General features: G+C 40.7%; 1 protein-coding gene across 2 annotated transcripts in view, besides 4 other annotated features; it reads right to left on the reverse strand.

Moving 5' to 3' along the window:
• Positions 57-351: a silencer, noted in NCBI's record as "tiled region #11085; HepG2 Repressive DNase matched - State 9:DNaseU, and K562 Repressive non-DNase unmatched - State 10:DNaseD". NCBI's record gives its function as "represses a minimal TATA promoter and a strong SV40 promoter by Sharpr-MPRA in HepG2 cells, with weaker repression in K562 cells {active_cell/tissue: HepG2 | K562}" and the evidence as "EXISTENCE:reporter gene assay evidence [ECO:0000049][PMID:27701403]".
• Positions 540-717: a silencer, noted in NCBI's record as "fragment chr12:103218752-103218929 (GRCh37/hg19 assembly coordinates)". NCBI's record gives its function as "represses an EF-1alpha promoter that drives an FKBP-Casp9 reporter gene in an ReSE screen in K562 erythroleukemia cells {active_cell/tissue: K562}" and the evidence as "EXISTENCE:reporter gene assay evidence [ECO:0000049][PMID:32094911]".
• Positions 8,047-8,592: an enhancer, noted in NCBI's record as "NANOG-H3K27ac-H3K4me1 hESC enhancer chr12:103226259-103226804 (GRCh37/hg19 assembly coordinates)". NCBI's record gives its function as "activates a minimal SCP1, AML or CMV promoter by ChIP-STARR-seq in naive and primed H9 embryonic stem cells {active_cell/tissue: H9 hESC(naive and primed)}" and the evidence as "EXISTENCE:reporter gene assay evidence [ECO:0000049][PMID:30033119]".
• The window catches only part of PAH (phenylalanine hydroxylase), a 121,553-nt gene continuing 113,372 nt past the window's right edge, over positions 12,455-20,635 (reverse strand). For both annotated transcript variants that reach the window (NM_001354304.2, NM_000277.3), the window contains 4 exons: positions 19,902-19,997; positions 19,212-19,345; positions 15,966-16,081; positions 12,455-14,784 (listed from right to left, as the gene is read on the reverse strand). In NM_001354304.2, the coding sequence (NP_001341233.1) occupies positions 14,741-14,784; positions 15,966-16,081; positions 19,212-19,345; positions 19,902-19,997 (390 nt within the window). In that variant the 3' untranslated portion in view covers positions 12,455-14,740. The remainder of the gene's footprint in view (positions 14,785-15,965; positions 16,082-19,211; positions 19,346-19,901; positions 19,998-20,635) is intronic.
• Positions 14,772-15,273: an enhancer, noted in NCBI's record as "NANOG hESC enhancer chr12:103232984-103233485 (GRCh37/hg19 assembly coordinates)". NCBI's record gives its function as "activates a minimal SCP1, AML or CMV promoter by ChIP-STARR-seq in primed H9 embryonic stem cells {active_cell/tissue: H9 hESC(primed)}" and the evidence as "EXISTENCE:reporter gene assay evidence [ECO:0000049][PMID:30033119]".

The raw sequence follows: 20,635 nt of genomic DNA on the forward strand, positions 1-20,635 counted from the left end.
CATCGGGCGCCCCTTTCTCATCTCTCGGGCTCTGACTCCTCTTGGGGTGCTTAGTTCAAGGCTGGACAGCCTAGAAGACACCCACCAAGTGTGGGTGGGGAAGAAGCAGAGCAAGGGCAGGCCGACCCGATCTGCAGCCACACTCCTTGTCCTCCGGGTGAAACTGCAGACCGCACAGCGCTGGGAGGACACATGGGCCACAGGGCGGGAGCTGTCCGTGGTTCTGGCCGGCGTCGACCCGTGGGTATTTAAGGGTTGGGGCAGCCCGCCTACCTTCTGCTAAACCGCAGGGAGGAGTCGGGGGCTGCAGAACCTGGATTGGTTTTAATTAACCCACGCGCAGGCAAGGTCTGAGAGCCGCGTTTCTGCGCCCTTTGCAGCGCAAATCACCGCTGGTGAGAATCTGAAGGTTTCTTTTCGGTTTCTCCGTCAGTGCCATTTCTCTTTGAGGACGTAGAAAACTTTATTCGGATACGTCTCATGTTCTCTTTTCACCTATCCCCCAGAATTTGTCCACCACCGCCCCACTTCTCTCCAGTTCTCTCCCCTGCCCCACAAACAAATCTAGGTGGAAAAGCGCAAGGTGAGGGCTGCAGTAGCCAAATGGTCATTCCCAGCTTCACTCCTGATCTCTAGGCAGTCCTGCTGGCCTTGGGGATTCTGAGGCAAACTGGGGATGGGACTGGTTTTAAACCCACCGTCCCCGCCTGTATGTTGACGGGATGCCACTTTAAGTTCATCAAATATAAACTAAATTTTTGGAACGATGAGGGTTGAATCTCTTGAAATGAATGGAGCATGTTTCTGGTTCCAGCTAAGCTGGTTCTAAGCCAGGACTGATGAGTGGAAGGCGTTCCTTTTCAGGTTGGAGAGTTCCTGGGGAGGGAAGAGAAAAGGAGGTCGAGGAATCCAGCGGTGCTTAGGCAAAAAGACTAATATCCTAAATCAACTCCACAGGGTGGAGCAATAGAGGTTCTGCTGCATCGCCCTTGCAGTAATCATTTTAATGTGTCTAGTCTTTCACTGAGCCCAAATAAAATATTTATTTTATTTTCAATTAAAAACTTGTGGAATTAAGCCCGAAAAGTGCAATAATTTGAGTTTTAAAACCTTGTATATTAACGGATTATCTTTCCCCCTCCTCAAACTATACACCTGGTGGCAGATTTTGGCAACTTTTATTTTACAATCCTTTAATGAGTGGGGATGGAGCAGTATTCCTGGAGCAATAGGGTGCTTTCTTTTCACTTCCTCATATTTGAAGGACTGGTTTGTCTTGCCCTATTTTGCAAGAATTTTTGATTCTACCTCCAAATTGGCTTTTTCTGTAGGCTGCAGTGTGCTCAAAGGGTGAAATGGCCACAGTGCCAGCGACTTTTGTGTTAAAAATTGTTCTCCACTTCCTGCTCCTGGAAACACAAAAAGCCTCCCAGATCTCACCAAAATTACCTTAAAATTGGGCAGCAAAGTGAAGTCATGCTTTCTTATGCTGGTTCCTTAGTAAAACAACCTGTCTGTAGCATGATCTATTTTTTTTAAATCAATGTTGTTTATGTTAAAGTGTTAACTATTTCATAAAACGTGCACTGCGGAACACCCCCAGCTGAAAGAAGTGTCTTAATCTGTTCTCGCTGCTAAAAGGAACTGCCTGAGACTGGGTGATTTATAGAGGAAAGAGATTTAATTGACTCATAGTTCTGCATGGCTGGGGAGGCCTCAGGAAATTAACAATCATGGCAGAAGGGGAAGCAAACACGTCCTTCTTCACATGGTGGAAGAAGAGAGAAGTGCAGAGCAAAGCGGGGGAAAACCCGTTATAAAACTATCGGATCTCATGAGAACTCACTCACTATCATGAGAACAGCATGGGGGAACTGCCGCCATGATCTAATCACCTTCCATGAGATCTCTCCCCCAACTTGTGGGGATTACAATTTGGATTCAAAATGTGATTTGTTCGGGGACACAGAGACAGATCATTTCAAGAAATGTCTTTAGCAATAAAGCAAATGCTGACTTTTTGAAGATTATGATCTACAAGTCTGGTAATGCTGCAGCTCCATGAGAGAAAGGAGGTTGCAAAATGAAGAACAATGTCAGAAATGAGGGTGAAAGAATGAAGGTCTATTGCCTTAAGCTTCAAATGGGAAATTTCAATTTCAATCTCTAAAGTTGCCGTTTTCAAGATAGTTTTAGTTTCAAGTTGATGCAAATTTTATTATTTTATTGTTCATAACACATGCCCATGTGTGTACATGTGTGTGTGTGTGTGCATGTGCAGTGTGTGTTGAAAGGTTTAAATTCTACTTTATTTTATTTTATTTTATTTTTTTGACTTTAAAGAAAAAGTCTGGTTTATTGTGGTAAGAAAACACATAGCATAAAATTTACCATCTCAACCATTTTTAAATGTATAGTTCAATTAAATACATTCACATTGTTGTGAAACAGATCTCTAGAACTTTTTTGTCTTGCAAAAATGAAGCTCTATATCCACCAAATATTTATTCCCCCTCTTCCCTCCCCAGTATTTGACACTCGCCTTTCTACTTTCTGTTGGTATGATTTGGACTACTTTAGATATTTCATATACATGGAATCATATAGCATGTGTCCTTTTATTACTGGCGTATTCAGCAAATTTCATCCATGTTGTAAAATATGACAAGATTTCTTCCTTTTTAAGGCTGCATAATATTCTATTGGATGTATATACCACATTTTCTTTTTTTTTTTCTTTTTCTTTTTTTTCTTTTATTATATTTTAAGTTCTAGGGTACATGTGCACATTGTGCAGGTTAGTTACATATGTAGACATGTGCCATGCTGGTGCACTGCACCCACTAACTCGTCATCTAGCATTAGGTATATCTCCCAATGCTATCCCTCCCCCCTCCCCCCACCCCACAACAGTCCCCAGAGTGTGATATTCCCCTTCCTGTGTCCATGTGCTCTCATTGTTCAATTCCCACCTATGAGTGAGAATATGCGGTGTTTGGTTTTTTGTTCTTGTGATAGTTTACTGACAATGATGATTTCCAATTTCATCCATGTCCCTACAAAGGACACGAACTCATCATTTTTATGGCTGCATAGTATTCCATGGTGTATATGTGCCACATTTTCTTAATCCAGTCTATCATTGTTGGACATTTGGGTTGGTTCCAAGTCTTTGCTATTGTGAATAATGCCGCAATAAACATACGTGTGCATGTGTCTTTATAGCAGCATGATTTATAGTCCTTTGGGTATATACCCAGTAATGGGATGGCTGGGTCAAATGGTATTTCCAGTTCTAGATCCCTGAGGAATCGCCACACTGACTTCCACAATGGTTGAACTAGTTTACAGTCCCACCAACAGTGTAAAAGTGTTCCTATTTCTCCACATCCTCTCCAGCACCTGCTGTTTCCTGACTTTTTAATGATTGCCATTCTAACTGGTGTGAGATGGTATCTCATTGTGGTTTTGATTTGCATTTCTCTGATGGCCAGTGATGATGAGCATTTTTTCATGTGTTTTTTGGCTGCATAAATGTCTTCTTTTAAGAGGTGTCTGTTCATGTCCTTTGCCCACTTTTTGATGGGGTTGTTTGTTTTTTTCTTGTAAATTTGTTTGAGTTCATTGTAGATTCTGGATATTAGCCCTTTGTCAGATGAGTAGGTTGCGAAATTTTTCTCCCATTTTGTAGGTTGCCTGTTCACTCTGATGGTAGTTTCTCTTGCTGTGCAGAAGCCCTTTAGTTTAATTAGATCCCATTTGTCAATTTTGTCTTTTGTTGCCATTGCTTTTGGTGTTTTAGACATGAAGTCCTTCCCCATGCCTATGTCCTGAATGGTAATGCCTAGGTTTTCTTCTAGGGTTTTTATGGTTTTATGTCTAACGTTTAAGTCTTTAATCCATCTTGAATTGATTTTTGTATAAGGTGTAAGGAAGGGATCCAGTTTCAGCTTTCTACATATGGCTAGCCAGTTTTCCCAGCACCATTTATTAAATAGGGAATCCTTTCCCCATTGCTTGTTTTTCTGAGGTTTGTCAAAGATCAGATAGTTGTAGATATGCGGCATTATTTCTGAGGGCTCTGTTCTGTTCCATTGATCTATATCTCTGTTTTGGTACCAGTACCATGCTGTTTTGGTTACTGTAGCCTTGTAGTATAGTTTGAAGGCAGGTAGTGTGATGCCTCCAGCTTTGTTCTTTTGGCTTAGGATTGACTTGAAGATGCGGGCTCTTTTTTGGTTCCATATGAACTTTAAAGTAGTTTTTTCCAATTCTGTGAAGAAAGTCATTGGTAACTTGATGGGGATGGCATTGAATCTGTAAATTACCTTGGGCAGTATGGCCATTTTCACGATATTGATTCTTCCTACCCATGAGCATGGAATGTTCTTCCATTTGTTTGTATCCTCTTTTATTTCCTTGAGCAGTGGTTTGTAGTTCTCCTTGAAGAGGTCCTTCACATCCCTTGTAAGTTGGATTCCTAGGTATTTTATTCTCTTTGAAGCAATTGTGAATGGGACTTCACTCATGATTTGGCTCTCTGTTTGTCTGTTGTTGGTGTATAAGAATGCTTGTGATTTTTGTACATTGATTTTGTATCCTGAGACTTTGCTGAAGTTGCTTATCAGCTTAAGGAGATTTTGGGCTGAGACAGTGGGGTTTTCTAGATATACAATCATGTCGTCTGCAAACAGGGACAATTTGACTTCCTCTTTTCCTAATTGAATACCCTTTATTTCCTTCTCCTGCCTAATTGCCCTGGCCAGAACTTCCAACACTATGTTGAATAGAAGTGGTGAGAGAGGGCATCCCTGTCTTGTGCCAGTTTTCAAAGGGAATGCTTCCAGTTTTTGCCCATTCAGTATGATATTGGCTGTGGGTTTGTCATAGATAGCTCTTATTATTTTGAAATACGTCCCATCAATACCTAATTTATTGAGAGTTTTTAGCATGAAGGGTTGTTGAATTTTGTCAATGGCTTTTTCTGCATCTATTGAGATAATCATGTGGTTTTTGTCTTTGGCTCTGTTTATATGCTGGATTACATTTATTGATTTGTGTATATTGAACCAGCCTTGCATCCCAGGGATGAAGCCCACTTGATCATGGTGAATAAGCTTTTTGATGTGCTGCTGGATTCGTTTTGCCAGTATTTTATTGAAGATATTTGCATCAATGTTCATCAAGGATATTGGTCTAAAATTCTCTTTTTTTTGTTGTGTCTCTGCCAGGCTTTGGTATCAGGATGATGCTGGCCTCATAAAATGAGTTAGAGAGGATTCCCTCTTTTTCTATTGATTGGAATAGTTTCAGAAGGAATGGTACCAATTCCTCCTTGTACCTCTGGTAGAATTCGGCTGTGAATCCATCTGGTCCCGTACTCTTTTTAGTTGGTAAGCTATTGATTATTGCCACAATTTCAGAGCCTGTTATTGGTCTATTCAGAGATTCAACTTCTTCCTGGTTTAGTCTTGGGAGAGTGTATGTGTCGAGGAATTTATCCATTTCTTCTAGATTTTTTAGTTTATTTGCATAGAGGTGTTTGTAGTATTCTCTGATGGTAGTTTGTATTTCTGTGGGATCGGTGGTGTTATCCCCTTTATCATTTTTTATTGTGTCTATTTGATTCTTCTCTCTTTTTTTCTTTATTAGTCTTGCTAGCGGTCTATCAATTTTGTTGATCCTTTCAAAAAACAAGCTCCTGGATTCATTAATTTTTTGAAGGGTTTTTTGTGTCTCTATTTCCTTCAGTTCTGCTCTGATTTTAGTTATTTCTTGACTTCTGCTAGCTTTTGAATGTGTTTGCACTTGCTTTTCTAGTTCTTTTAATTGTGATGTTAGGGTGTCAATTTTGGATCTTTCCTGCTTTCTCTTGTGGGCATTTAGTGCTATAAATTTCCCTCTACACACTGCTTTCAATGCGTCCCAGAGATTCTGGTATGTTGTGTCTTTGTTCTCGTTGGTTTCAAAGAACATCTTTATTTCTGCCTTCATTTCGTTATGTACCCAGTAGTCATTCAGGAGCAGGTTGTTCAGTTTCCATGTAGTTGAGTGGTTTTGAGTGAGATTCTTAATCCTGAATTCTAGTTTGATTGCACTGTGGTCTGAGAGACAGTTTGTTATAATTTCTGTTCTTTTACATTTGCTGAGGAGAGCTTTACTTCCAAGTATGTGGTCAATTTTGGAATAGGTGTGGTGTGGTGCTGAAAAAAATGTATATTCTGTTGATTTGGGGTGGAGAGTTCTGTAGATGTCTATTAGGTTGCTTGGTGCAGAGCTGAGTTCAATTCCTGGGTATCCTTGTTAACTTTCTGTCTAGTTGATCTGTCTAATGTTGACAGTGGGGTGTTAAAGTCTCCCATTATTAATGTGTGGGAGTCTAAGTCTCTTTGTAGGTCACTCAGGACTTGCTTTATGAATCTGGGTGCTCCTGTATTGGGTGCATATATATTTAGGATAGTTAGCTCTTCTTGTTGAATTGATCCCTTTACCATTAGGTAATGGCCTTCTTTGTCTCTTTTTATCATTGTTGGTTTAAAGTCTGTTTTATCAGAGACTAGGATTGCAACCCCTGCCTTTTTTTGTTTTCCATTTGCTTGGTAGATCTTCCTCCATCCTTTTATTTTGAGCCTATGTGTGTCTCTGCACGTGAGATGGGTCTCCTGAATACAGCACACTGATGGGTCTTGACTCTTTATCCAATTTGCCAGTCTGTGTCTTTTAATTGGAGCATTTAGTCCATTTACATTTAAAGTTAATATTGTTATGTGTGAATTTGATCCTGTCATTATGATGTTAGCTGGTTATTTTGTTCGTTAGTTGATGCAGTTTCTTCCTAGCCTTGATGGTGTTTACATTTTGGCATGATTTTGCAGCGGCTGGTACCGGTTGTTCCTTTCCATGTTTAGCACTTCCTTCAGGAGCTCTTTTAGGGCAGGCCTGGTGGTGACAAAATCTCTCAGCATTTGCTTGTCTGTAAAGTATTTTATTTCTCCTTCACTTATGAAGCTTAGTTTGGCTGGATATGAAATTCTGGGTTGAAAATTCTTTTCTTTAAGAATGTTGAATATTGGCCCCCACTCTCTTCTGGCTTGTAGGGTTTCTGCAGAGAGATCTGCTGTTAGTCTGATGGGCTTCCCTTTGTGGGTAACCCGACCTTTCTCTCTGGCTGCCCTTAACATTTTTTCCTTCATTTCAACTTTGGTGAATCTGACAATTATGTGTCTTGGAGTTGCTCTTCTCGAGGAGTATCTTTGTGGCGTTCTCTGTATTTCCTGAATCTGAACGTTGGCCTGCCTTGCTAGACTGGGGAAGTTCTCCTGGATAATATCCTGCAGAGTGTTTTCCAACTTGGTTCCATTCTCCCCATCACTTTCAGGTACACCAATCAGACGTAGATTTGGTCTTTTCACATAGTCCCATATTTCTTGGAGGCTTTGCTCATTTCTTTTTATTCTTTTTTCTCTAAACTTCCTTTCTCGCTTCATTTCATTCATTTCATCTTCCATCGCTGATACCCTTTCTTCCAGTTGATCGCATCGGCTCCTGAGGCTTCTGCATTCTTCACGTAGTTCTCGAGCCTTGGTTTTCAGCTCCATCAGCTCCTTTAAGCACTTCTCTGTATCGGTTATTCTAGTTATACATTCTTCTAAATTTTTTTCAAAGTTTTCAACTTCTTTGCCTTTGGTTTGAACGTCCTCCCGTAGCTCAGAGTAATTTGATCGTCTGAAGCCTTCTTCTCTCAGGTCGTCAAAGTCATTCTCCATCCAGCTTTGTTCCGTTGCTGGTGAGGAACTGCGTTCCTTTGCAGGAGGAGAGGTGCTCTGCTTTTTAGAGTTTCCAGTTTTTCTGTTCTGTTTTTTCCCCATCTTTGTGGTTTTATCTACTTTTGGTCTTTGACGATGGTGATGTACAGATGGGTTTTTGGTGTGGATGTCCTTTCTGTTTGTTAGTTTTCCTTCTAATGGACAGGACCCTCAGCTGCAGTTCTGTTGGAATACCCTGCCGTGTGAGGTGTCAGTGTGCCCCTGCTGGGGGGTGCCTCCCAGTTAGGCTGCTTGGGGGTCAGGGGTCAGGGACCCACTTGAGGAGGCAGTCTGCCTGTTCTCAGATCTCCAGCTGCATGCTGGGAGAACCACTGCTCTCTTCAAAGCTGTCAGACAGGGACATTTAAGTCTGCAGAGGTTACTGCTGTCTTTTTGTTTGTCTGTGCCCTGCCCCCAGAGGTGGAGCCTACAGAGGCAGGCAGGCCTCCTTGAGCTGTGGTGGGCTCCACCCAGTTCGAGCTTCCAGGCTGCTTTGTTTACCTAAGCAAGCCTGGGCAATGGCGGGCGCCCCTCCCCCAGCCTCGCTGCCAGCTTGCAGTTTGATCTCAGACTGCTGTGCTAGCAATCAGCGAGACTCTGTGGGCGTAGGACCCTCCGAGCCAGGTGTGGGATATAATCTCGTGGTGCGCCGTTTTTTAAGCCCATCAGAAAAGCGCAGTATTCGGGTGGGAGTGACCCGATTTTCCAGGTGCCGTCCGTCACCCCTTTCTTTGACTTGGAAAGGGAACTCCCTGACCCCTTGCGCTTCCCGAGTGAGGCAATGCCTCTCCCTGCTTCGGCTCGCGCACGGTGTGCGCACCCACTGACCTGCGCCCACTGTCTGGCACTCCCTAGTGAGATGAACCCTGTACCTCAGATGGAAATGCAGAAATCACCGTCTTCTGCGTCGCTCACGCTGGGAGCTGTAGACTGGAGCTGTTCCTATTCGGCCATCTTGGCTCCTCCCCCCCACATTTCTAAATTCTACTTTAATTAAAATTCTTTTCTCAACTGGAAGCTTCTCTACAGTTGTCATCTCTTTGGAAAGAGTGGTCAGTTGGGATTATGTTGCTGGACCAAGATGATCAGAGTAATAATAACCAAGACTTATTAGAGCCCATTTGTGCTTTGAATAAGAATAATAAATATTTAAAATTGTTATGTAATATTGGAAGTGATTGAGAGCTTCCATATACACAATATGTTGTTTGATCTTTGTGACAACCTTATAAGATAGACATGCATCTTCTCCACCTTACAGATAAAAAATTGAGACTTGGGGAGATTAAGAGTCTATTTAAGTAAGTTCAGCTTGATGGAAAAACTGCCATTTGAATTGGGATCACCAGAGCAGTCTCCTGAAAGATGCTACATCTTTCTATCTCTATCCTATATTGTAACATGTAGGAGTGTACTGCTTCTTTTAAAAAAAATGGTGCCTGATTTTTGTCTGTGTAAAATGTGAGACATTGGACATTGTCATTAAGGAGATAAATGGCACACTTTTTCATTCTGTCTTTATGCAGCCAAAATTTATTCAAAGTTTCCTGTAAACAAAATAATTGTCATCATCTTGTTTCCTGGTGTTTGTACAAACTCATTCTCTTTCCATGCCTGACTCTTGCTCCATTAAAAGATAGGCTTTCAGCCAGGCATGCTGGCTCCCAGCACTTTGGGAGGCCGAGGCGGGTGGATTACCTGAGGCAGGAGTTCGAGACCAGCCTGACCAACATGGTGAAACCTTGTCTCTACTAAATACAAAAAATTAGCCAGGAGTCATGTCACATACCAGCTACTTGGGTAGCTGAAGCAGGAGAATCGCTTTAACCCGGGAGGCGGAGGTTTCAGTGAGACAAGATCGCACCACTGTACTCCAGCCTGGGCAACAAGAGCGAGACTCTGTCTCAAAATATAAATAAATAAATAAATAAATAAATAAATAAATTAATTAATTAATAAAGGTTTTCAGGATTACCATCCACTTCCCTGCCCTCAGTACTGGCAACAAATGTGGGTGCTGTCCTCGGTGCTGAGAATCTCCACTCTGGAAGGCATGTATAGTCTGCTCCTCTGTCTTTGCCCCAGGCTGAGGTGCCTTGTCTTAGAAGGCACAAGGCACTTCACAGTCACAAAACCTCTATTGTGTAATTCCAGGCTGCATTCCATGCGGGAAAATTAGTAGTTATTTTTCACAAGAGTGACTTCAAAGACAGCCTCCTGCCTCCTTGGCTTTCCCAAGGACATTCTAGGAACAGAAAGTTTGGGAAAGTTTCTGCTTCCTCCTTTTTCACTCTCAAACTTGATTTATTTTGTTAGGCCAAGGAAACAGAGTTTATCTTCACAGATTTGGGGAAGGTGGGCAGAAGCAGTATTTGGGTGTTGCCAGAGCTGGGAAGCCTTTCTAGACCAACAGTTACCTTTTGCAAGCAAAGTAGTTGTTCCAAGCTAATTTTTTGCTTTGGGATGATTTTGATGCCTGGTGACTCTCTAATGAACAGCTTTAAAATGTGTTCTACTCCAATATATGGCAGGGTGGGTCTTAGGGAAAGGGCCAGCTGCTCTGTGCCTTTGCTGATGAATTCCTCAACTTAGCCCTATCTATGGCCTCTGAGAGGTTGGAGGAATGGAGGGGAGTGGTGATAGAATAAATGACTTCTCAAAGAAATCCACACTTTTGAAAAGAGAGACATGAGGGAGAGACTCAAAGTTACAAATGAACATACATCTTAGTCCTTCGTTTCTAAATCCAAATTCCATCCTCCCCAGACCGCTCACAAGGAAAGATAAAAATTATCCCTTTGACACAACTCATTCACTTACCTTACATTTGCAAGGTAAGATTGTGGGACAAGACAGGTCCAGCTAACATTAGTTTGAGAACCCTTTGGAATAAAGAGACCTCAAAGAGGACTAAGTTTCTTTCTTTTAAAATAGATGTTCCTTAATTTATGTCTACTTCTAGGAATAGCAAATTAAAGGCATCCAAAGTTTAGACAAATTTTAATAACATCAATGAAAGATGCTGATCCACTTACTTCCTCTGGACATCGTGTACCACCTAAGAATGATCTAAAGAAAAATAAGTACTGCAGTTCAAGCTTAATTGCTGTTTATCTTTTATTCATTTAGGCAAATTAAAAAATTAAAAGGCTGTTATGATTTCTTTAGTAATGTTTTCTTGGAAACTTAAGAATCCCATCTCTCAGAGAAGCACATCTTTTTAAAAGAAAGTTTTAAAATTCACAAATACAAATTGTATATATTTATGGTGTATAATGTGGTGTATATATATGTGTGCAATACATATATAGATATGCACATATATGCATTTATATGTATACATACATATGCACATACATATATGTGCCTATGTACATATGCACATACATATATGTGCATACGTACATATGCACATACATATATGTGCATACGTACATATGCATATACATATATGTGCATACGTACATATGCATATACATATATGTGCATACGTACATATGCATATACATATATGTGCATACGTACATATGCATATACATATATGTGCATACGTACATATGCATATACATATATGTGCACACACATTGTAAAATGATTAAATCAAGGTAATTAGCATATCCATCACATAACATATTTATATTTTTGGCGGGTGAGAACATTAAAATCTACTCTTAGCAACTTTCAAGTTTCAAGCAATTTTACTTTCGAAACTTCACAGGAAATCTATTAAAAGACAGTGACCATCTGTGTGTGTGTGTGTGTGTATGTGTGTGTGTGTTGAGGGTGCATACACACTTTACTGGGAAGAAGATACTTTAAACACATTTTTAATCTTTCCTTTGCAAAATAAATACATTTTTATATACTTTCTTAATTTTGTTTCCTCGATGATTTTTTTCTTTTTTTTGCAAATGTTAGAGAAGTCACTAAATGCTTTCTGAGCATTTCAGCCTGACCATGGACAACTGTGAAGTTTCACTGGTATAATTTTTTATCTTTATTTATCAACAAACATTTATTAAGCACTTACCATAGTGCAGTTATTATCCAAGCAGCATAAATACAAACTAGCCATAATCTAGTCTAAACTAGATATAAGGGGTAATATCTTTCTTTTAAAAAAATTGCAATTTTGTCTGGGCATGGTAGCTCACACTTGTAATCCCAGCACTTTGGCAGGCTGAGGCGGGTGAATCACTTGAGGTCAGGAGTTCAAGACCAGCCTGGCCAACATGGCGAAACCCATCTCTACTAAAAATACAAAAATTAGCCAGGTATGGTGGTGCATGCCTGTAATCCCAACTACTTGGGAGGCTGAGGCAGGAGAATCGCTTAAGCCCAGGAGGCTGAGGTTGCAGTGAACCGAGATCATGCCACTGCACTCCAGCCTGGGCAACAGAGCAAGACTCCATCTCAAAAAAAATCACTATTTTGTCTAATTTATAAATTTTTGATAACTTTTAAAAGAAAAAATTACAAATTTAGTTGTTTCTAAACTTTTCTTACACAATAGTTTATTTGTGATAAACAATTTTCGCTACCTTCCCTGTGATGCAGCTCACACAGCAACTGTTTTAAAATAAATTATTGAGCATCTATTATGGGCTAAGTGCTAATGGTTTTAGAGGTGAAAATAAAGTCAAGGTTTCTGTTTTTATAAAGCTGACATTTTATTGGTGGATTTTTTGAAACACAACTAAATTATATAACTTAGAAACCTACAGTTAAAATTCAGATTCCTACTTTCAGAAACTTATTAAACATCAATGCCACATGCTTAGAATTTTTTATGTATTTATTTTGATTGTACTCAGCAAGATCATCTGTCAGTAAAGACTGATACTGTTTCTAAAATATTGCTCATTTACTAGAAATTAAACAAATAAAAACACTTACATATTGGAAATTTATTAAATCCCATAGCTATAGACTGGGCTTTTATATCTGGATAAAAAAGAGCTAAGAACTGAGTAGCACATTACCAAAAATACAAATATTATCTTTCATTCAGTATGTAACTTCCTGTGAAAATCATAACTTAACCGAAACTTTACCTTCAAGCTCATTAAAACATCTTTACTGGACTAAAACTCACTCTTCAATATTGTCAAAAATATTATCTAATATTTAAGTTCCAGAGTCAATAATTAACTTTTCATGTGAAATGAAGAAACATCAGAATAATCCCTTTGCAGGGATTGTTTGGTGTTTAGAGTAAAAGCAGAGAAAAAAGTCCTTTTTCACTTTTAAAATCAGTGGGTTTTACAAAGGCATAAACATAGATACAGGCATAAAATTCCAACTTCAAAACAATGAAACTTCAGACACATTCAGTAAATTCCTCTTTCCTCCCAGCTGGCATATATAAGCAGGTATTGTAACACCCCATCAGTGGATCAGGCATAGCTATATAAAGACACATATGAACACTTGAATCATATTTCAAGGCTGCAATGGACCTTGGTTTATAAAGTTTAACTCCCTCATTGTTAGAGTGACACTGAGGTCTAAAGAAGGGAAACAGCTTATCCACATTGACATCATTGGCAGTGGCAGACTGACCACCACAAATCAGGTTTTCTCAAACTGAATGTACCTGATAGAATTTGGCTATGAATAATTAAAAAAATGGGGTACTTAAAAATACAGGTCTCTGGGCCTTATCTTCAGAGATTCAAATTGGGTGGAGCTGGGAAGGTACCCAGAATTTGCTGTTGATGATACTACAGCTGTTCTGAGAACTAAACTCAAAGAAACACTATGCAAATTCTTTAAGACTTAACTATTTCCAAAATAAAATGTAAAGTAGTATGAGAATTTCAAATCATAGCTACAAAGATATTGTTTTTTTTCTCCCCACTGCTTCTCAGATATTCATGTTTTCATGGCAAACACACAATCAACAAAAGTCAAAGTCCGTTGACTGTCCAGGCATGACTTTGAGTGTCACAAGGAGCCCCTGCAAAGGGTTGGAGATATGAGCCTCTGGCCATTTTCTCATGTTACAAAACTATCTAGCTAATGTATTTCTAAGGCAGTGAGAGGAATATTTCATTCCAGGAAATAACTGAAACAGTGAAATTGTTTAAACTACTAATGTTTTATTACTAATACAAATAAAAATTTCACATTTATACAGATTTGCTTTTCAATAATGTATTTACTTATTTATTCAGTGAACATTTCCTGAATATCTACCAACCAAGCCTTTAGTCAACATCTGCTGCATCATAAATGTCCTCAAAGTGTTTCCCAAAACAGACTTGATAATTAATTGGAAAATGATACTGGAAGTTATGGGGATTAGGTGCAGAGTTTTATTACCTTATACAGCAGTATTTATGATTACAATAAAACATACAAAAATGTTTTTATATTAATATAATACTAAAGAAGTTCAATGCTTGTAACTATTTTAATGGGCTTCTGACTTAAAGAAAATTTACTTAGGTACAATAACAAAGTAGTAATTGGAATCATAGTTAACTAAAATAGAAAATAAACTTCATAGGTTACGATTTATATTAAGCCCAATAATTCAATTCTAATGACAGTCTTGTGTTTTACATTTAGCCTTATATGCTCCTTTATGAGTTCTCTGCAAAGCATATATGAAGCTTGAATGAAGCAGGTCCCAAATTTTAATTAATCTTGATGAAATGCGACAGATTACTGATTTAACTCAATTGAGAGTATGGGATTATCATCTCTAAATCAAAGATGACCCCAAAAGATTTACCATTATGCTCTTGAGTATGTACTCATATCCTGTCATTTCAGATTATTTTGACTTATTTGTTGTTTCTCCATCTTGTAAAGGATTTAAGGCTGTTATTTCAAATTAAGGTTTGCTTTTCGGACTTTTTCTGATGAAAGAAATAGTTGGATCTCCATCAACAGATTCACAGCTGACAGACCACATTCTGTCCATGGCTTTACTTTATTTTCTGGAGGGCACTGCAAAGGATTCCAATTTCACCTACAAAGAAAAACACCATCAAAATGGGCCACTTGTATAATAAGCAAAAACTCTTCAAGTGTCCTCAGTGCAAAGCACTAGGGGATAAGTGGGCTTCTTGGATGAGCTGGGTGCCACCCCAACTTTCAAGGAGCTTACAGCCTCATTATGGTATAAGTACTTGCATGTTTTAGAAAATGCCAGAGCCATTAATGTAATCAGCATCCCTTTTCCATAGGTCACTTCCCAGGGAAGGACTTAACAGGTCTCTCCCCAGGCAAATCATTAGCTGTTCCATTTCTCTTTTACATTACCATCTGCATATGCTACAAGAAGCGAAATCATTGAACCTAATAGTATGGTTCACACAAAACTCTAGTGTCAGAATCACCTGAGGTCTATAAACTCCCAAAAGTTATCACAAATTTGGTAAATTTAGCCTTGGCTATGACTCAAAGCTATTAATTTTTAGCTGGCTTTTCATTTGATTCTGATGCACATTCAAATTTTAGAATCCATGGTCTAAGCAGATAACTCAGTCTAGATGGCAAGATCACTGGATGAAGGTGTGATGCAGCCTTCCATTTATGCTATGTCTTCACATACCAGGTAAATGAGATTGGAAAGGAGAACATTTTAAACATAAACAACTGCATGGGCAAGGGTTAGGAGTCTGGAAAGAGCATGAGAACTAAAAATTGATCAGTGTTGCTGGAAGAGAGTATGAAGGGCTAGAGAGATAATCAGGTGATAAATGAGGTAACCCTGTGATATTCTTAAGGGCAATTATTATAATATTCTCATTATGAAGGAAGAGTGGAAGGCCAACAGATGAGCCACTGGACAGCTTATAAAGTGGATAGAACCAGGCAGAGTGATAACAACTGGACACTTAGCGTAGAAGGGATGGAGAGGCGAGGGAGAAAAAGGAACATGGCAGTGACAGACCAAGTGTGGAAAGGTGGAATGATGGTAGGAGGTGGAGTGGAATCTAGGAAGGTCAAAGGAAAAAGGACACAAGGGTAATTCTGACCTTTTTGTCAAGTTCTTCTCCATCAATGAACCCATGGCTTACATGGAGGTGCTTTTCTCCTTAATTAAATATTTCAATAAATTTATTATTTTTCCTATGGCGATGGTAGGGAAAGACAGTCTTCGATTACTGAGAAACCGAGTGGCCTCGTAAGGTGTAAATTACTTACTGTTAATGGAATCAGCCAAAATCTTAAGCTGCTGGGTATTGTCCAAGACCTCAATCCTTTGGGTGTATGGGTCGTAGCGAACTGAGAAGGGCCGAGGTATTGTGGCAGCAAAGTTCCTAAGACCAAAACCACAGGCTTGAGTGAAGGGCACCATTTGGAGAAAGGTAGTCTTAAGAGAGTTCTCAGTGGCATTTTACTTCTTTTTTAGGAACACGGACACCTCCCTAGAGCAGGGTCTTCAACAGCCAGGGCTGAGGCGGGGGGAATGGAGTTTTAATGAGTCTTCTTGGGAAGCCTCTGTATGTGTGTATGTGTATGTACAAACACATATATACACATGTTTATTTAGTCCCCTGGCTCCAAGAAGACAGAGATAGCTTACAATGAAACTACTGAATACAATAAAGCCACAAACTCCTATCATTAAATAAAATCAAGAGTAAGTAAAATCTAGCTAAAGAATGCTATATAGAGGGAAAAAAGCTCTGAAATGGTTGACAATCAATGCAGAGGGAAATAGCTCTCAAGTGGTGAAGAAAGCACTATGTTAATAATGAAATTTAACATTGATGGAGTACCTTCTATGTTCCAAGAACTATGTTAAGTTCTAACTGTCCAATGCTCTTTACAAATATCCTTCCTTATTTAACCTTCACAAAAACCTTAGGAGAAAGGCACCATTGCTATACCCATTTTATGGATGAGGAAACAGGCTTGGGAAGGCTGCGTGACTACTAAGGCCATACTGTCAGTAAGTTATGCAGCTGGGAAGGAACCCAGGCAGTCTGACACTGGCCTGGACCCTTTGCTTTCCTGCCTTCCCAGTGCCTTACTCCTGGATCTGGGAGAAATCCACCATGAGGGCCTCTATGAGGGACATCATGCAATACCATTAACAAGATGTTGCAAAGTAATCACAGATTTCTAAGTTGGCCTCTGGTGAACCTATAAGCTGCTGTACTGAAAATACAATGTTACGGGAGACAGTAGGGACCTCCAAGTTTGGCAAGAGTGGCTCCCCAAGTTCCAAGTCAAGCTGCCTGGGCTGAAACCCTGCCTCTGTCTATTATGGCCCTTGTGACCATGGGCACAGGGGACCACTCTTCTGTACCCCAATTTCCTCTGTAAAATTGGGGCATTAGTGGTACCTGCCTCAGGGGGTTGCAGCAAATGCTGTTATACTATGGTGTAAGTGCCCTATGAGTGTTAGTTGCTATCTTTCATGAAGAACAAATGGCCAAGTATATATTTCCACCCCTTCTTCTCTGAAAGGAGCTGTCTCAACCCAGCTGGTGGCATGAGCCACATGTTACACATCTGTGATTTTGCCTGCTCTGCACCTCTTCCTCCTTCTTCCCATAAAGCAGCTCATTTTTGCTTTGGGTGATTTACCCCTACCCTACTAGGTGTGTATCAGTCCAGAAGTCAGTATTCGGTGCCAGCCCTCCTCTGGAAAGGAGGTAGCATGTGAACCATGCTCAGCCAATCACATCTCTGCCTACAACTTGAATCTTAAAACTCCAAGTGGTTAGAATTGGTTTCTCTTGGCTGAGATGCTTTGAGGGAATCCAAAGGGATGTGCAGATTCCTTGTTTTGAACTCTGTTCTTTAGCATTCTCTTTGATTCTCTGAGCCACTTCTCAGCAGAATGGGGTTTTCATGGTTGTTTCCCTTGAGGCCTCGGTACTGACAGGCCTGTTTCCTGGCAAGCTCTTCCCTGCTGGTCTGGGACTGATCACTTGCTGGTTAGAGAGTTGTCTCCAGGAGGGCCCATCCAAATGTGATCTTGGCATGACAGGGTGCTCATCAGCACTGCCTCTAAGCTCCAATGCCTGGGTCCAAACCTTGGGCCTTGGAGGGAGAGGGGGATGATGCTGGAAGGAGGCTAGGCTCCCAGTTTAGGAGAGAATTAAAAAAGCAGAGCCAGAAGGACTTGAGAGCTCTGGACAGAGCTGGAGAAATAGTCATTTTAGGCCACACCAAGTGGATTTGTGGGCCAGCATTTTACCTTTAATTATCTAAAGATAGTAGACATAAATTAAGGAATATCCATTTTAAAAGAAAGAAAGTTAGTCCTCTTTGAAGTCTCTTTATTCCAAAGGGTTCTCAAACAAATGTTAGCTGGACCTGTCTTGTCCCACAATCTTACCTTGCAAATGTAAGGTAAGTGAATGAGCTGGCAAAAGGATAATTTTTACCTTTCTTTGTGAGGGGTCTGGGGGGGATGGAATTTGGATTTAGAAAGGAAGGACTAAGATGTATGTTCATTTGTCTTTGACTTTCTCCCTTATGTCTCTCTTTCCTCCCTCATGTCTCTCTTTTCAAAAGTGCGGATTTCTTTGAGAAGTCATTTATTCTATCACCACTCCCCTCCATTCCTCTGACCTCTCAGAGGCCATAGATAGGGTTGAAAGCTAACATACCCAGTGTCATAGACTCCCAAAGGCCTGTATGTTCCATGCCTGTCATCCATCACTGATAAGATTTTTTTAAGTGGTAACATACAGTGAGTATTAGGATATTCATGTCCAGGTGGACCCTCTGCCCAGTCTGTCTCCTGCTTGGGTGCAGGAACTGTGCACTCAGAGGGCCAACAGTCTCAGAGTCCCAGAACCACTCCATCAGCCTCTTGCTGAACTGCCTCTGGGATTAATGCCTTCACCAATTATTTATTGAGTGCTTACTCTGTGTCAGGTATTGTTCCAGGGGCTGGAGGAAAAACAGAAAATAGAAAGAACAAAATTTCTACCCTCATGGAGCTTACCTTATGTAATATATTACAAGTTAATAAGTATTACAGACGCACTGGTGGCAGGGATGAGTAGAAATAAGTTGGTTAGAGAAAGACATATAGAGATTAAATTTGGGTAAAGACACAAAGGAGGAAGCAAATTTTGTAGGTGTTTGGGAGAAGAAAGTGAAGAAAGGACTTCCTAGGTTATAAGACTTCTTTGATTTTGTGGGGAGACTTCTGTGGCCACTCTGTATGCAGGAGGGTTCAGTGTCTTGACTTGGTGGTTGCGTTGAACAGGGACCAGGTGGCAGGGGTGTGTGCAAAGGTCAGCATGCCCAACCTTCCAACAGAGAACGGAAGAAAAGGAGGGTGGAGAACATGGGAGAGAAACTGTCTATGGTACAAAGTTGCTGTAGACATTGGAGTCCACTCTCCTGGCCAACCACCCACAGATGAGTGGCACCAGTCAGGAGGCCCCCAGAGCTAGTGGCTCACCTTTGTCACCACCTCACCTTACTTTCTCCTTGGCATCATTAAAACTCTCTGCCACGTAATAGAGGGGCTGGAACTCCGTGACAGTGTAATTTTGGATGGCTGTCTTCTCCAGCTCCAGGGGGAGAAGCTTTGGCTTCTCTGATAAGCAGTACTGTAGGCCCCAAGTGAAAAGTTATTATCACTGTTAAATCAGGATCAGTATTCCCTGCTGCATCCCATAGGCCATTTGTGCCCCTTCTCTCATCTCACCCCGATTCCTTCTACATCACAGCCCAAATGCTGTGAGCCAAATTACTTTGCACATACTAGGTTCTACCCTTCATAGCTCATCTAAAACCTACAGCCAAGGGAGAAAGGAGTAATTCATTCCAATTACTTTCAAGTAAGGTGGTCAATAGATGACGTGGGAGCCAACCACACTTTCTGGCATGTGTTTGCATACTCACAAGGCTGCATGCATAGGTCAGCCTTGGAATCAGGAGGCCCCTTCTCCCCAGAGATATGTGTACTTGCAATTCCATTTCTATCTGTAAAACCCACAGCCATCATCAAATCATAGCTGCTAAGGTACCAATCACTGGAGAATGAGTTCCCAGGTTGCATATCAAAACGGATACAAATAGGGTTTCAACAATATTGAAAGCACAATAATGGTTTTCTGTACCCACCACTTTTAAATCTATCCTTGGTTCCTGTGAAGGTCATACCTGTAATTCACCAAAGGATGACAGGAGCCCAGCACCATATGCCTTTATGGAGTCTCCTTGTTTGCAGAGCCCAAACTCCACAGTAAACCAGTAAATCTGGAATGGAAAGTCAATCTGAGAGCACACTCTATGATGGTTAATTTTATGTGTCACCTTGACTGGATGAAGGGATACCTGAATAGATAGTAAAGCATTATTTTGGGGTGTGTCTATGTCTATGAGGGTGTTTCTGGAGGGGATTGGCATGTGAGTCAGTGGACTGAGTGGGGAAGATCTTTCCTCATTGTGGGCGGGAACCACCCAATGGGCTGGAATCCCAGATGGAAGAAAAAGGCAGAGGAAAGCCACATACGTATTCTATCTCTCTTGGAACCAGGACACCCTGTTTCTCCTACCCTTAGACATCAGAACTCCAGGCTTTCTGGCCTTTGGATTCTGGGACTCGCACCCAACCACCACCCAGGGGTTCTCAGGCCTTTGGTCTCAGACTGAGAGCTATACCATCAACTTCCATGGTTCTGAGGCTTTTGAACTTTGACTAATCTACGCCACTGACTTTTCAGGTTCTCCAGCTTGCAGGCAGCATATCGTGGGACCTCTCAGCCTTGATAACTGTGTAAGCCAATTCCCCTAATAAGTCCCCTCTCAGATTTCCCTCTCTCTCTTTCTCTCTCTATATATATCTCACTGGTTCTTTCTCTCTGGAGATCTTTGACTAGTACACACCTCAAAGA

The sequence above is a fragment of the Homo sapiens genome, chromosome 12 (assembly GCF_000001405.40).
Source record: "Homo sapiens chromosome 12, GRCh38.p14 Primary Assembly".
Lineage (NCBI taxonomy): Eukaryota > Metazoa > Chordata > Mammalia > Primates > Hominidae > Homo > Homo sapiens.